At 44.3% G+C, this 16541-nt stretch overlaps 1 long non-coding RNA gene across 1 annotated transcript, besides 4 other annotated features; it reads right to left on the reverse strand.

Annotated features, from left to right (window-relative positions):
- Nucleotides 473-572: an enhancer, noted in NCBI's record as "active region_6034". NCBI's record gives its function as "activates an Ori minimal core promoter by ATAC-STARR-seq in GM12878 lymphoblastoid cells {active_cell/tissue: GM12878}" and the evidence as "EXISTENCE:reporter gene assay evidence [ECO:0000049][PMID:35858748]".
- Nucleotides 6384-6883: an enhancer, noted in NCBI's record as "H3K4me1 hESC enhancer chr12:13521335-13521834 (GRCh37/hg19 assembly coordinates)". NCBI's record gives its function as "activates a minimal SCP1, AML or CMV promoter by ChIP-STARR-seq in primed H9 embryonic stem cells {active_cell/tissue: H9 hESC(primed)}" and the evidence as "EXISTENCE:reporter gene assay evidence [ECO:0000049][PMID:30033119]".
- Nucleotides 6943-7469: an enhancer, noted in NCBI's record as "NANOG hESC enhancer chr12:13521894-13522420 (GRCh37/hg19 assembly coordinates)". NCBI's record gives its function as "activates a minimal SCP1, AML or CMV promoter by ChIP-STARR-seq in primed H9 embryonic stem cells {active_cell/tissue: H9 hESC(primed)}" and the evidence as "EXISTENCE:reporter gene assay evidence [ECO:0000049][PMID:30033119]".
- On the reverse strand, nucleotides 8654-14728 carry LINC01559 (long intergenic non-protein coding RNA 1559). Its single transcript, NR_036555.1, has 3 exons — nucleotides 14497-14728; nucleotides 14207-14408; nucleotides 8654-11421 (listed from the first exon to the last, which is right to left on the reverse strand). It is a non-coding gene; the product is annotated as a long intergenic non-protein coding RNA 1559 (long non-coding RNA).
- Nucleotides 13331-14530: an enhancer, noted in NCBI's record as "CDK7 strongly-dependent group 2 enhancer chr12:13528282-13529481 (GRCh37/hg19 assembly coordinates)". NCBI's record gives its function as "activates an origin of replication core promoter dependent on BRD2, BRD4, P300/CBP, MED14 and CDK7 cofactors, with strong dependence on CDK7, by STARR-seq in HCT116 cells {active_cell/tissue: HCT116}" and the evidence as "EXISTENCE:reporter gene assay evidence [ECO:0000049][PMID:35650434]".
- Nucleotides 14729-16541: the final 1813 nt, after the last annotated feature.

A 16541-nucleotide genomic window follows, 5' to 3' on the forward strand; every position in this document is an offset into this window, starting at 1 on the left:
GATTAGAAATGGAAAGCCTAATATAAAGAATTCTTAACTAGTAATAGTTGAAGATTTAAAAAGATTAAACAGGACTCTCAGAGATCGAAAAGTAGTATGTTCAAAAAAAAACCCAGCTACTACTTCTGGGCTGAGGGAAAGTGGCAGCAAAGAAACAAAGAACTTGGAAAAGCACCTTTATCCTCACAAGCCTGAGATTTAGACTTTTGTAAAGAGGAACATACAGCCTACCTATAATGACAAAGCTTGCTGGAAGGCCTGGGTCAAGTGGCGATCTAGTTGCCTGCTATAGCTGGAGCTGCTGTGGCTCATGGAAGCCACCAACAATCAGCTGCCAGGCAGGTAGAACGTTGAAGGCGCAGCTGGAGTTTCCAAGGAAGGAGCCCATTGCCTGTGTCACAAGTGGTCACTAGGTGGGGACAGAGTAGCCTGAGGGCACAGCCAGAGCTGGTTCATGAGGGCCACTAGGCTGCAATGATGAATAAAAAATGGCAGGCTAGAACCTGGAAGAGAAGTGTGTTCATGTGGTGATCACCTTGAAGTGTAATGTCAGCACCCTCTGTTGATAAAGCCTTGTGTGCCAGCTGGCAAAGGAGAAACGTCTATAGGGTCTGGCTTCAGTATTACAAAGCTGCATAGGAAAGGGTGGATTCAGAGCTGGGAGACAATAAGCTGATAAGTGGTACAGAGTCCTTCCTTTCCAGGTTGTCTTCTTCTCACCCAGAAACAGTGCCTTCCCAATGCTGCCACATTTGAAGCTATATCCTCTCAAGCACCCTTTTTTTCAATTCCCAGTTGTCGGTAGTCTTATTTACTGTCTCAGATATTTTCTCAGTATTTCTCAACTCAGGATGGGATCCTCTCTGGAGGTAAATTTGTATGTATGATGCCATCTCAAAAACATTGTACTCTCCCTTTCTTATTGTAACCCCTGACTCTGCTCTGGCATGAACTACAGTTGTGGCTCTGCTGGTTTCAGATGTGTATTTTCCCACTTATCTGAAAAATAAAGTTTGTACCTTTCTTTGTCTATTACTGTGCAAAAACACCACTTAAGTGGCATGTAGAAATAAGCATTCATTTCTTGGTTATCCATCTTCGGGTCTGCTGAGATTTGGCTGATCTAGGCTGGGCTTGGTTACAAACTGTGGGTTGGGTCCAAGTCTACAAGCCTCTCATCTTGCCCTTTTAGTGCCTACTCCATGCATGCTATATTCATAGCAAAAGACAAGAGTGTAAGAAAATAAGCCCCTCTATAGGAATACATTTCAAATATCTGTTTACAAAACATTCCATAGACCAAAGGCATATGACCAAGTTCAACAACGAGACAGAAAAGTGTTTTCCCCATAGAAGTTGGAAGAGACAGAAAGTGAATATTGGCTGAACAATAATTTGCCATAGATTTCCTTTCTATCTATAAATATCTACATACCTCCCATACTCAAAATATTCTCACTTCCATCCCAAGAGTTCTCAAAGTCTTATCAAATCATGGCATAACACTTGAAATCTAGGATCTTAGGATCTACATCAAATATGCGACTCCTCTTGATACATAGACTTTTGAACCGAGAAGGCAAGTTGTTATCTACCGCCACTCTGCACATATCCAAATATATAATGGTGGAAGAGAAACAGGTTAACTTCAGTAAAAATTCTTTGTTTTGTTTTTTTTTGTTTGTTTGTTTTTGAGACGGAGTTTCACTCTTGTTGCCCAGGCTGGAGTGCAATGGCGCGATCTCGGCTCACTGCAACCTCTGCCTCCCGGGTTCAAGCAATTCTCTTGCCTCAGCCTCCTGAGTAGCTGGGATTATAGGCATGCGCCACCATGCCCGGCTAATTTTGTATTTTTAGTAGAGACAGAGTTTCTCCATGTTGGTCAGGCTGGTCTGGAACTCCTGACGTCAGGTGATACACCCGCCTTAGCCTCCCCAAATTCTGGGATTACAGGCGTGAGCCATGGCTCTCGGCCTCAATAAACATTCTAATTTAAAAAGGGCAAGAACTGCCATCACATAGCACATAGATACTGGTTCTTAGAAATTATGAAATCCTGGTGGGCAAATACCAGATTCCACTACACTGGTGGTAAAAATGTTTCTTCATTAGGCTCTGGTGATGTCTGTGGAAGTAATCCTAAATCCATCATTCCTCACTGTTTTTGGCTCTACCCTTTGAAAGTTCCTTCTTGGTTTTTTATTTGATTTCTATCAACACCAGTGCCAAAAGTCACATACACATACTTTTTGATACATGTCTGTGTCTTTCTAGACTTAAATTGCAGCAAATTTGAACAAAATATGCTTTTATGGAATCATGTTCAAGCTTTCTAGTTGTCCCTTTATTTAGTTAAAAAGGTCTGCAGATGTTACCTTCATCTCTTTAGAGGTATAAGCAAGTATTATAGCCATACCTTTTATTTGATCTTTATCCTGAGTCATGTTTTATTGGAAGCACCCTGGGTTTGGCCTTTTCTCTGACTGAGGTTGTGGTCATAATGGCAACACCTTTGATTTATTAATTAGCACTTTTATTTTCCAAGCCTATAATATTCCTTTAAATATTGCTTGCAAACCAGTTAGTATTTTTCTGATTGAATCTCTTTCATGTAGTACCTTATCAAATGCAGCTACTAGCGATCAGCTCACACTTTCAATGATTTGCCTCAAAACTTCCTCAATCAACACTAATGTTTATTAGGTAAATATTCTGACTTGTAAGATATTGCAGGCCATATTTTCCCAAATCATTTGGCACTGCATAAGACAGATCGCTATTTTTCATTCTTATATGACAATCTCCTTATTGCAAACTTCTCAGCCCCCAAATTAATACCAAATAGTTTAAGTTTTATGGCAGCATCTCACTTCTGGTACTAATTTCTGTATCTGTCAGCCGTTGCTGCAAAACAAATAACCCTAAAACTCAGGTGCATAAAACAATAAACCTTCATCTTTCACTTACGTTTTTGCACGTTGACTGGGATTTAGCTCATCTAGCTCGTAAGGTTTGCTTACAAGCTCAGGTTGTACTTGGGTCCTCTTCAAATGTCTCTTATCCTTTATGAACCAGGTGCTAAATGAGGCATACCATACTCTTCTCATGGCAAAAGACAGGAGCACAAAAGAACTTGCTCAGCTATGCAGGCACATTTCAAGTTTTTGCCTGCATGAGTTCTCAATATGCCACTGGCCAAAGCAATTCACATCCCCACTCTTAATATCAGAGGTGATGGTTGAGATTCTTAGGGGGGAAGGAGAGAGTGAATAGTTGCTGAACATTAATCATTTAATATACTATAATCTGTCTCCTAGTTATGCTACTGTGGGCACAGGTTTTAGCTGTATTTGTTCCACTTGTCTATTTGGTTTTGGAGGGTGTATGAGAAATTTAGATTCAGGCAACTGCCATTATCTTATGGAAATGTAGAAGTTCTCTTTTTAAATCAACTTAAGCATTTCTTTTTTCTTTCTTTACTGGGCCCCAAGTAAAAATATCCCTAAATAAAAGATTTAATGTGTTAGATATATTTTTCTTTTTTTAGATTAAACAATCTTTATTTGAAAAATAGTACCTTACAATCCTAACATTATCTATCAAACTTCAATTAGAGCAATTTCAGGGTCAGCTGATGAACAGTAGCTCAACTAACAAGAGATCAGTCAGAAGTGCCTTAAAGGGAGCAGCACCGGCTGATGTTCTGCCGGGTCTCTGGGCATTTAGCACCCGGCTACCGGGAAAACAGAACCTGACAGGTGCTTGGACCCAAGCCCTCACATCATGACCCTCATGTCTCCTGGGGACCCTGGTGTCTCACAGTCCTCCTAGCACTTCTGGGGCCCTGTAGGCTGAGGGCCAAGCCTCAGGAGCCAAAGGGCCCCTCAGGAAAGGCTGGAACTTGGCCTCACAATCAGCTGGCTTCTGCCTGTTGTAGTCATTCTTTTCGGAGTGCCTGGAGCACTCTCTCAGTGGACACAGCAAGCAGCCATCCAGCCTATCTGGGCCGCTTTCTCATGGAAGAGGATTTCCCTCTGAAAACTGGAAGTCTCTTTCTTTAATTCCTGGGCCAAGTCTTGGGACATCTTGTAGCGGTCGCGGGTCTGACACACACGGTTCCAGTTGTTGTGGACCTTGCAAATTCTCTGGCCGAGATCCAGGCAGTAGGCGTCCTCCTCCGCGGGCTCCCGCTGAGGCCCCATCACATGTTCCTGGTGCAGTTCTTCTCCACTGTGCTGTGAAGCGTGTGGGATGTGCCTTGTATCGGTCACTGGGGGAAGCTCAAGAGGCTTGCTTTTTTGTGCTTTTTTCAGAAGTTCACTTAGATCCTGACGGGATGACCTGCTCATTTCATTTAGAACCCTCAAGCAGAGGGTTCGGAGCGATCAAGGACTGGCCTCCGGCATGGGCAACATGAGGCCACCACTGGCCTGAGGTGTTTGCTGGCCGCATCTTGGCTCTGGCCTTTCTGTGGACCTCACCCTGGACCAAATCCTTTTGGGTCGGCTCCTCCCTTCCTCTGCCTACATGTTTTTTTTGTTTTTTTTTTTTGAGACGGAGTCTTGCTCTGTCACCCAGGCTGGAGTGCAGTGGCACGATCTCGGCTCACTGCAAGCTCCGCCTCCCGGGTTCACGCCATTCTCCTGCCTCAGCCTCCCGAGTAGCTGGGACTACAGGCGCCCGCCACTATGCCCGGCTAACTTTTTGTATTTTTAGTAGAGACGGGGTTTCACCGTGGTCTCGATCTCCTGACCTCGTGATCTGCCCGCCTCCGCCTCCCAAAGTGCTGGAATTACAGGCGTGAGCCATCGCGCCCGGCCTTCTCCCCACATGTTGCCTCCTGACCGTAGAGGCCACCACAACAGTGCACGCCCAGATCACGCAGGGTATCCATAGATTTGCTGGCACTAGTCCCGGGCTTCTGTACATCACTAGGGCTGCTGCCCACAGGTGGGCCAGCAGCAGCTGAGTAGGCATGTCGTGGCAGGCAGCAGGCCCTCTGAGGCTCCTGGGGGCTTTGCAGTTCTACCTGCAGTTGCTAGTGGCTCGTGAGTCATGAACAAAGGCCCACCAACCGGATTAGACTGTCCATTGGACTGGGGGAAGGGGAAGCACCCCATCCCGTGTTCTAGAAAACTGTGTCCTTGATTTTGCTGGGCAAATAGAAAGTGTCATTACTTATATGATGCCTTGGGGGAGTGGAAAGAGTTCACAGCAGCCCCTAGCTCAGGCCACTCCAGGCCCCACCTGGCCCTACAGCACAGCTAGCAGGTCGACGCAGGGCCATGCCATAGCCCTGTGTCCACACACGATCCTCTCAGAGCAGCGTGCTGGCCCGTCCCTGCTGAGGCTCATTACCCTGATTTCAAGTTTCCTTCTGCTGCAGGGAAGCCTGGTCCAGTCTGCAAAGAGTCTGTCTCCCTTCCTAGATTAAGCTCCTTAAAAAAGGAACTAGGCTTTCTTTGTCTCCCTGTCCCCAGTAGCTCGCCAATGCCCAGTATACACTAGGGGCGCAGTCGCTGTTTGTCTTGTTTTCTTGTGGACTCTTCTCTAAGGACATGTCACTTTCCTCTCTTGACTTCCATATTTAGATCTGTGAATAAGAGTAAGTAGGTAAAGACACCTCTGGCTTTAAAACTCCTCCAGTATAGAGAGAACTCTGAAGCCAGAACCGGAAGCTGAGGAGTGGTGAATAGAGCGTTTTCCCCGGCATGATGAGAGGACCTATAGATCTGGCTGTTAGGGTGGTATCCTGCCAGTTGAATGCCTCTGCAGAATTTGACCCTAGTTTTCAAATCAGACTCAAGAATAATCTTTAGTGTTGGTGACTTTGTGTTGTTTTTGTGGTTGTTGTTTCTTTTGTTAAGACTTTGTTATAGACACACAGCTTCTGGAAATCTTTTTCATGGAGAGTATCGGTATGTCTTTGGCCAAATTGTGGGGGTGCAGGCTCCATCTGCTTGGCAGTTGCTGTCTGGGCCACAGCATATCTGCTGCGTCCTACTCCTCTACAGAGGTTTCTTCAGACACTGTAGCGTGACTGGCCATGTCATTTGTCACAGGTGTAAAAACAGTGACAACCGAGAGCCTGAAGCTGCTGGGATGAGTGCCCAACGCAGAATCCTGTTCCCTGGCAGGCATATTTACACTGCGCTCCAGTGCTTGGGCCTGCTCCTTCCAAGAAGACAGGATGCCAGGATGGCCGGGACTCCGCTCGCTGGGACACCATGGTCTTTGTGAGCAGCAGGCCTGAAGTGGTGAAAGCCATCATGAAGGTGAGGGTCAAGTGCTGAACGGTCACTTTAGAAAGGCAGCGGCCTGGCCTTCTGTGACAAGCAGAGTGAATCGGCCTCCATCTCACCCTTGGTGCCACTATCTTGTTGCCACTTCCCTTGAGAGCACTGTGAGCTCTTCCTCAGGATCCACTTTTCAGCTTCCCTTCACCCCATTTTCACTGGGTGGTGGTGGCAGCCTCTCTGGCCTTGCCAGGGACTGGGTGCAGGGAGGGGCAGCCAAGGGCGTGAGGCAGGTGGGCAGCCTGTGTAGGTGCCTCTTGCCCTTTCCACCCAGACAAGAAATCCACTCTAGTCAGTAAGTGTCTCTTCATCCTATGGGTGTTAATAGCCTGGGTGAGAGGTTTGGCTCCAGTACTTGGCAGGCAGTAGTAACACTTACACAGCACTTGCTATGTCTGAGAGGTGCTCTAAGTGCTTCACACATTAGTTAATTTAATCCTCACAACTCTGACATTAGCACTATTATTATCTCCATTTCACAGATAAGGTAAATGAAGCACAGAGAATGTAAGCAAGTTGCCCAAAGTCATGTAGTTAATAAGTGGCTAAACTAATCTGTTGTTCTCTCTCTAATGGTAAGCACTCAATAAGGATTTTTTGAGTGAATGAATGTCCTAAATCCATTATGCAGTGTTTTAGTCAATTTTGTGCTGTCATAACAAAATTACCCAAGACTGGGTAATCTATGAAGAACTAAAATGGATTCCTCACATTCTGGAGGCTGAGAGTCCAGGGTGAAGGCACTGGCAGGCGAGGGCCTGATCTCTGTTTCCAAGATGGCACCTGCTGTTGTGTCCTCTGGAGGGAGGAGCGCTGTGTCCTCACACAGCAGGAGGTCAAGCTCCCTGAATGCTTCATGAAACCACTTATAAAAGAACCTTAATCCCATTCACCAGGGAGAAGCCCTCTTGGCCTAATCACTTCTTAAAGTCCTTACCTCTTAATACCATCACAATGGCCATTAAGTTTTAATGCCTAAAGTTTGGAGGGGACACATTCAAACCACAATGTATGATTAAGCAGAAAAGGTCAGTCAGAGTTTAGGGCCACTGTATGGTGTTTTGGAATGATAGGACACCTTACAGAATAGTCTACCTCTCTGAAGTGTTAGGATATGTTTGTTTCATAAAGGAATATCAAACATCCCACCTCCAACAGCTATTAAAGCAATACTCTATTTAAAAAGAAATACATGCAGTGTGCTGTTTATTTGAATCTTTGCCTGCAGATGGGCATTAACTCACCACTAGACAGAAATGAACATTCTTCTCTCTACTGGACTGCATTCCTTGCTGAAACAATATCAGACACTCCAGTGAGAGATTTATGTGGACCCTGAATGGGTCAGGAGCTCCAGGCACAATCCTGAGGCACCCTTAGAGACAGATGATCACTTTTCTTTTTCCTTTCTCCCTTAGGCAAATATTAACTCAGCTGGCTCTTAGAATTTATTTGTGCTTAAGATAAATTAACAAGAACCAAAGAGCCTTTCTCAGGTGTTGGTACCAGGCTAGAGTGCCCTGAAGACAGCAATCCATTTCAATTCCAATATCACTGCCTTTCAGGCCACATGCTGGGAGCCCACAGAGTTTGCCACGGTACTCGGGCCAAGTACCTTGCAGGCTTCTGGAGCTGGGAGCCCCTCACACTTTGAGGCTTTAATATAGATTTCTCTGCCTGCTCACCTGTATATAATTGTGAGGGGCATTAGAGCAAGAAAGAATAATGTGACCTTCAGGGGCTGTGAAAACAATTGTGTCCTCTATGAATTTGTAGGTTGAGTGATGAGGCAAATTAGGGCTTTAGCTTTTTCTTCAGGGTGAAGCACCTGAGACCTTGAGTTACCTTGATAATATTTCATCATTATTTCCTATTACTCAGTAAGAGCTCTGTCCTGCCCCTTCTTAATTAAAGAATTCAGAAGTCCTTGAAATAAAATTATGTTTGGGACTCTCATCTCCTGCCCCAGTTCTGCTCCTCTCCCATCTCAGTGTAGATAAGGATCAAAGACAAATCCTAGTCTGACCAAAAGCCAAATAAGAGAATATATGTCACATCTGTTTAATGAGTATTTATTGAGCACCTACTAGATATTTGGAGAATTTTGGTAGAGCCCTATTGCTTCAGGCCAGGTCCTTGGGACAGTAGGCAAAGCCAGGCAAACCTGGATTTTATTTCTGATCCAGCTGTGTGACCTGGCTAAATTAATTTCCCAGTTGCTTCATCAGCAGATATGAGATTATAATTTTTTTATCATTTTAATTGACACAAAATAATTGAGCATATCTATGGGGTACAGAGTGATATTTTAATACATGTATTCAATGTGTAATGATCAAATCAAGGTCCTTAGCATATCCATCACCTCAAATATTTATTATTTTGTTGTGTTGGGAACATTCAGAATCCTCTTTGAAAATATACAATATTTGAAAATATACAATAATATACAATAAGTAGACAATAAATAATCATTAACTGTAGTCACCTACCCTGCTTTAGAACACTGGAATTCACTCTTCCCATCTTTCTAGCTGTAATTTGTATCCGTTAACTCTCTTTTCCCTATGACCCTTGCCCCTCTACCCTTCCCAGCCTCTAGTAGCCTCTATTTTACTCTCTACTTCTATGAGAGTAACTTTTTAAATTTTCCCATATATGAAAGAGGACATGTGGCATTTGTGTTTCCGTTCCTGACTTTTTTCACTTAACGTAATGTCCTCCAGGCTCATCCATGCTGCCATGAATGACAAGATTTCATTCTTTTTTTTTTTTATGGCTGTATAGTATTGTGTTGCGTCTATATACCACATTTTCTTTATCCATTCATCTGCTAATGAACATTTAGGTTGATTCCAGATTATAATGTTTATACTGTGAATCATACATACTTTATGTACAATGTGTAGCATAGACAATTCCTCATAATAGAAGCTCAACAAATGTTGGTACTATACCATTGCCTTTCCTGCTCTCCTTTTCTCACTCCTCCCCAGGTACAGAGATAACAGAGGTAACTAAAATACAATCCTTGTTCTTGAGGGGCCAATCTAGTGGGGAAATACATTTGTAAGGAGAGATACTCCAATGAAATTTGGTGTCTCCAGAGAAGAATGCACAACCTGCCATGAGAAACCAGAGGAGGAAGCAGCTGATATTCTAATAAAATTAAAGCTGGAGACATTTTAAAAGTAGTATAGCTCAGCTTCCTCTTTTACAGATGAGAGAATCCAGGTCCAGATAAGTCATGTGACTTATTCAAGGTCATGGCACATTTGTGGCAGAGCTGGGTATAAAGCTCAGAACTCGATTTCCAGCTTCTTGCTTTGTCACACAGAATATGCAACAGGGATTGAAACAGGAAGGAATAAAGATTTTGCATCAAACAGGACACAAAGCTGGAATGAGAGTAGCTGCATCTAGATGCTGGAAGAGAGTCCTGGAGCTGCAGAAATCCAGGGATGGCCTGGTGCAGGCAGAGCCTTGTGTCTGCTCTGTAATTGGGAGCTTGAGTCCAGTTCATGCTCTGACAGTCCCCATACCCTTTCAGAAAGTAGGTTTTCTGTCCCAGAAGCCAAGCTTAAGAGGGAGTTCTGCAGGACAATTCATTGTAAGGAAGGACTTGGCTGAGGGAGAGAGCTAGGAGGAGGAACAAGTATGTCCTTGATGTTGGAAACCACCAGGAAAGGCATCGAGGACTTTGCCCATGCCAGGGAGCTTGCAGTGTGAGATAAAACTGTGTTTGAATCTGAGGCGGGAGCATCATTTTCCTGTGATCCAAATTAAAGCTTTGGAGGATGCTGCTTTTTAGCAAATGTCTGGGAATTATCCAAGCCTAAGGAATTGTCTTCAGAGATCCTTACCAGGAACCTAAAGAAGCTCTCCCTCTCCCTCCTGCAACAGGAGAGCCCAGGGAGCTCTTGAGGCCAGAGGGTAGGAGGGGAGGCAGAAGTCTCTGTGGGTGTCTTCACAAGGGTGCAGGTGGCTTTCAGATTAGCCACAGAAATATACTGGTAGGTATATATATTTATGGGTTACATGGGATATTTTGATACAGGAATGCTATGTGTAATAATCACATCAGGGAAAATGGGGTGCCCATCACCTCAAGGATTTATCATTTGTTTAAGCCAGCATCTACTTTACAATTCCTCATCTCCCAAGGCTACATAATTACAGTGAGAACTTTAAGAAATCCACGTTTACGTGTGTTCTTTTGGCTTAAATCCCCTTCCTCAGCAAAAAGGCAAAGAGGGCACAGCTGTTTGCCTTCAGCACTCTCCTCTCTATATCCAACCACATTTAGGGCAGCTTTCCATGGCTTTTAAAATTCCTTTCTCTTTTCGGTCTGCTCCTTTATATCCTCATTGCCGTATAGAAATAAATATGAGGCAGAGTCCTATGCTTTTACAATTCCAAGGAAACCTACAGAGCGAGGCTGTGGAAACTGATTTTCCACTTTACCGGGGCATTATCCAACATGTTGGGTGCAAACGGGCACCTTTTAGCCTTTTCTTAAATTTGCATGACCTGTAATGTCTATACAGATTATGAATGAGCCTGAGGAGTCTGCATGTCTAACTTGTCATCAGCCTGGAAAAATCAAAATGTGTAGGTAAAGTGAGCACAAGATTTGGAAAAGCAAGGTGTTTGGATGTAAGAGAATAAACTCTTAGCCCTTTTGAGCATGAGTTCCTCAGCTGCAGAACAGGATTGAGAATCCTCACCTGAATTGGCCACTCTGAAAGTGAAAGCTAGCTAGATAAAAGTGCTTTGAAAAGGTAAAGAAAGGTGATGATTTAAAGCTGGTTAATGCTGAATTATGGAGGAGCTCTTTGGAAATTCTTTTTTATCTATATAAATGACAGAAATTTAGTGTGATCCATGTGGCTAGCACCTGTCACATGTCGTCTGCTGGCATTGATGCCTCACATCTTCCTCAATTTTCTGCTTCTTTTTCTCAATTAAAGCCGTCTGTCCACTCTTCAGCCTCTGAATCCTCCAAGCAATTCTTTCCTCTAGTCTTAGTGGATTTCCCAGGGGAGGAGCTCGTGCAATCCAGCAGAATGTGTCTACGAGCGCTCTGACTCTTCCAGGGAACGATTCCTCATTCCCAAATCTGTTGCTAGAGATAAGCAAGAGATTATACATTCCTGAGACCTGGGCATTACTTGAGTATCTAGGGGAAAATCAAGAATACTAAGGGGAAAAGGAGAGAAGGACAAGAGCAGCACATTTTATTTGCATCAGGCAAAATTGGGAAGTTGCAGAGAAAATGTTGCCCTTTGACTGCATGGAGGAAGACGGAACATCAATATGAAAATGGCGCTAAAGAGGCATGGGCTTTTCATGGTGTTTTCTTACTTCAGCTGCTATTGTTCAAAGAAGGTCAGTGGATCTCAGACATTTGAAGGTGGCACCTCTCCCATGAGAGTAAGAGCCCAGCTGACATAGGCCACTGGCTACATGGACCACTACTGGGGGCTCTTAACATCACAGCACCTGTTTCCTCATCTGGAAAACAAGGGGCTGTAACTACATCTGTGGCTTCCAACTCTCCCCTACTGGGAAGAGAGAGCTTCGTCAAACCTCAACCCTCTCCCCCTAGCTCCTGTATCTTTTCTCTAGTTATTTTGTCTCTGTCATCTTAGTCTCCTCGGTGCTCTCTGCTACCTGACTGCAGCAGGATGACTTGTCCCACCCATCTGTCCCATGGAGCCAGTCCTGAGCCTAGATTGAGTGGGTCCTCACCTCCATTGTGTGATATAGGCTGTATGTGTGTGTGCATGTGTGTGTTGGGGGAGGCTGAAATGACTTCTTTCCCTAAATGTCTCTCCCATGCCAAAAGTTTTTCCATTGATTATTTATTTTTATCTCTTTATAAGACAATTTTTTAAAATATCAGAAACAGCAGGAGCAATCATATGGGTCTAATCAGTCATTGACGCTTTCGAGTCTATAAATCTTTCCTTGTAGCAGGTTCTGAGGAAGGTAGGGGGAGATTGAAGGAAAACAACCCCTTCATATTTTAGTCCAAAGCTGTTGTTCATAGGTTATTCATCTGGTGGCCCAGGTGCTGACACAGTGACGTGCTTTCATGCCAGTTCCACAGCCAAATTGCAACCATGTGGAAGCTGGAAGCGTCTTGTCATCTCAGAATTGGGCACATCCAGTGGGGTAAAATCTGAAGCCAGAGGGGCAGAACTAAGCTCACAGCATCTGTTTACTGAGTTTGGGATTAGAAGAATTTTGATTTAAATGTGCACTATCAGTAGTTGCTTGATGAAAACAATACCCAGCATTTTGTGTTTTTACTGTCCCTAAGGCAACTCTGGTCCAATGAAAGTGAGAGTCTAAAAATCCCAGGATTATAGGTAATAGGACCTACCCTTCCATATCTGTGCAGTTTATATGAGTAGAACATGATTTTAATTTTCTATTGCCCTCATCCTTGCTCTTATATCCAAATACCCAGTAGCATGATCAGGAGCAAGGGAACTAATTTTCAAATATTAGCAAAGTTATTCAAGGGAATGGACTTTCTGTGGCTGCAGTTGGCACGTCTTTTTCAGAAAGCTTGCCCGTGGCTGACAGCCTGCTTGGCACAGTTCCTCCGGAGTCCTTTGGTGATGGAGAACAGGGCTGACAGGATTCAAATGGCCAGATTCCACAGAGGCCAAGGAGGGCCACAGTCTGCAAACCAGGGGAGATTGAGGCCTGAGAAGGGCATCAGCTGATGGAAATATTCACTCTAGGAAAACGAGGTGTAGCCAAAGAGAGTCATTTAGGAGAAGCAGATTGAAAGCAGCTGTGAAAAATCCTGAAATGAGGATATGGAATAGTGCTGGCCACCTCCGCATATGCCCACATGGAAACACACTTAATCAGCAGAGCTGGGCCTATGTGGAGATGCTGAGCCGGAGGCTCCTAGGTGTTAAGCACTTTTCTATGTGTAATGTGGTGGAAACCACCCTAGACTTTTCAGCGCACCCAAAGCAATAGAATTTTAACTGGGAGGGAATTATCCAGCCAGGGACTAGTTTCTGGCTTCTTTTGGAACTCAGTGTGGTTGTATGGCTAAGCTCTCACCAACAGAATGTGAGTGGAAGTGATGTGAGCCACTCTCAGACCTGACCATGAAACTTGGCTCATAGGCTCCTCCATACCACCCCACCTCCGCCCCACCTTCCTGCTTGGCTGGAATACAAACCTTGCAGTAACCTTGTGAGCAACGTGCTGAAAATAATAGAACTAGCATCTCCTGGGTTCCTTGAAGGATGCTTGGAGTAGAAGGCCCACCACCTGGCCTGTTCTAGACTATTTACATGAAAGAGAAAAAACCTTTTACTCTTCTCAAGGCATTGCATTTTGGGTCTTCCAATTGGCACAGTTTAGACCATGTTAACTAGTATATACAATAACTGGGCAAAGTAGGTGATGTCATCATTTTATAGGCTAAGAACCTGCAGCTCTGGGAATTTAAGAGATTTATTTATTTACCCAATATCAGGATACGAATGTGGAGTCATTATTTGAACTGAAGTCTGTCAGTTTAAACATTTATCTCCCAGAAGTTCAGACCTCCAGAGCAAACAGGTAGCAACAGATGACTTGAATGAGAGAGGGATCTCTGATTTGGCTACCATGTCCACTAACTCAAGCCCAAACTCATACCACCTCTTTCCACAGCTCCAGCTGCTGCACTGCTGAACTTGATCTTCATGCTGGAAGAATATGACAGCTGGAATGGGTCCTAATAATCACCCAGCTCAGTGGTTTTCAAATTTCATTTGGCAGAAGAAACACTTCTAATGAAATCTAAAACTCAGAAGCCCTGTGTGTAAAACAGTCCAAAGCAGACCTTGTCTCTTTGAAGTGTGGGCCTGGAACCTGGCCTGTTTCCCACTCACCTCCACAGCCTCTGAGTCCCTCCAAGCAGGTCAGAGAACAACTGATCTGGGTCAGCCCTTCGTTTCAGAGGTAAGTAAATAGTGGAGCATGAAGTGTCTTCATCAGGAACACACAGAAGGTAAAAGGCAGGGTGGGAACAGGAACCCAGCCTTCTGGCTTTTGAATTTAGGAATCTTTCCATTGTACTGGTGTATTAGAGTTCTGTAGAGAAACAGAACCAATAGGAGATTAGATAGATATAATACAATGAATATACCATAATTATACAAATAATAAAGGATTGGCTCACATGAATTTGGAGGCTGAGAAGTTCCATGATATGCCATCTGCAAGCTGGAGGCCCAGGAAAGCTGGTGCCTCCAGTCCAAACCCAAAGGCTTGAGAATCAGGAGTTCTGATGTCCAAGATCAGGAGAAAGATGAATATCCCAGCTCAAGCAGCCAACAAATTTGCCCTTCCTCTTCCTTTTAGTTCTATTCAAGTCTGCAATGGATTGAATGAGGCCCACCCACATTGGTGAGGATGATCTCTTTACTAAGCACATTGATTCAAATGCTAATCTCTTTTGGAAACACCCTCACAGCCACACCTAGAAATAATGTTTTACCAGGTACCTGGGCTTCCCTTAGCCCAGTCAAGTTGACACAAAAGATTAACCATCACAACTGGATTTCCTCTTTTGAGATACCAGCCCTTGAACCAGCTGCAGATTCAAGATGCCCAGCAAAGGCAGAATGGCAGAAGGGTCAGAGTTACTTGTTATATTAACATTTTGATTTCTGTGTAACAAATAACTGTTAAGCACGTGTTTAATTGAGAAGACAACCCAAGCAGGCTAAGTGTGAGCAACAAGGCTTGTTTATTCACTTGGGTGTGAGCCGGCTGAGTCCGAAAAGAGAGTCAGCATTGAGGAATGAGGAAGAGGGGGTTTTATAGGCTGGGGTAGCAAGTGGAAAGTTACAGAAGGTTACAGCTGGGGGTTGGTCGTTATAGATTTGGAGGGATGGTTAACCGGCTGGAACAGGAACTTGCTGTTTTTCTTCTTTGCGGTCATTCTTTTGTTGCTTTGGGCCTCTTTGTTCCAGGGAGCTATCTGGAGGTATACGTGCTAGTCACAGAGTTCACTTCTGGAGGTGTACATGTTGGTCACAGAGTTCATAATGGCCTGGCGATAGTGCAGCCACACTTAGGGAGCCTAACAATTACCACAAACATCATGGCTAAAACAACACCTACTTATTATGATCTCAGATGTCTGTAGTCTGGGTGGGCTCATGCTGGGTTCTTTGCTCAGTGTCTCACAGGGCTGAAATCAAGGTGTTGGCTGAGCTAGGTTATAGTCTGGAGGCTCCGGGAAGAATCCACTTCCAAGCTTATTCAAGTTGTTAGCAGAGTTCAGTTCAGTTCCTTGTGGTTGAAGGACTGCAATTCCTGATTTTTGCTGGTTATTGACTCTTGGTCACTCCTGGCTTCTGGACACTGCTCTCTTGAGGTCATTCCCTATAACTCCCTCCATGCTACCAATAGAGAACCTCTTTCTCATCAAATCCCTCTCATATTTTATTTATCTCTCACTTCCCCTTCTGCCACTAGCTAAAGAAAGCTCTATAGCTTGTTAGGTTACACCCATCTGGACAATCTCCCTATTGCAAAGTCAACTGATTAGTAACCTTAATTACACCTGCAAATCCCTTTTGACATGCAGTATAGCATAATCATAGGAATGACATCATAGGGTTAACGGCATGGGGGCCTGCTTAGAAATCTGCCTACCACATTTGCATAGTTACAACTAACTCTAGAACACACCACCTTCTCTTGAGGCCTCTGAGAACAATGGTAACATGGTTCTCTCCTATGACCTCCTAACAGCTTTTGCCAAATTCTTTCTGCTAGCTTCTGGGTAGGATAAAACAGCCTGATTATGCATTATTTCTAATTTAACATGGTTTGTGAGGCAAAGCAGGTATTAGACTCTGTAGGGTGTGTTCCCAGCCTTAGCCCTCCCTACAGCCTATTTCTGTCCACACATAGGAAGGCAGGAGGCAGGCCTGAAATCCTGGGGCTATCAGAAAAGGTGGGGCGGCAGCGGGGAGTTCTCTGTTCCTCTGGTGGCACTCACAAAACGACGATCAGAATAATCTTCTCCCTTTGTAGATGACTCCAGAGGGGAGACAGGATTTAACCAAAGCTAACTAGCAGAACTAGTTGGAGCTCTTAGTTTGGTGTTCTTTCTGCTACTCACAGTCAATACTAGAGTCAGCTGGTTTCTCTGTTGATTCTTTGCCCTGGCTTCTAGGTGATCTCAGAAAAGCCTTCCACAGTGTCTTCAGT

Source organism: Homo sapiens, chromosome 12 (genome assembly GCF_000001405.40).
Source record: "Homo sapiens chromosome 12, GRCh38.p14 Primary Assembly".
NCBI lineage: Eukaryota > Metazoa > Chordata > Mammalia > Primates > Hominidae > Homo > Homo sapiens.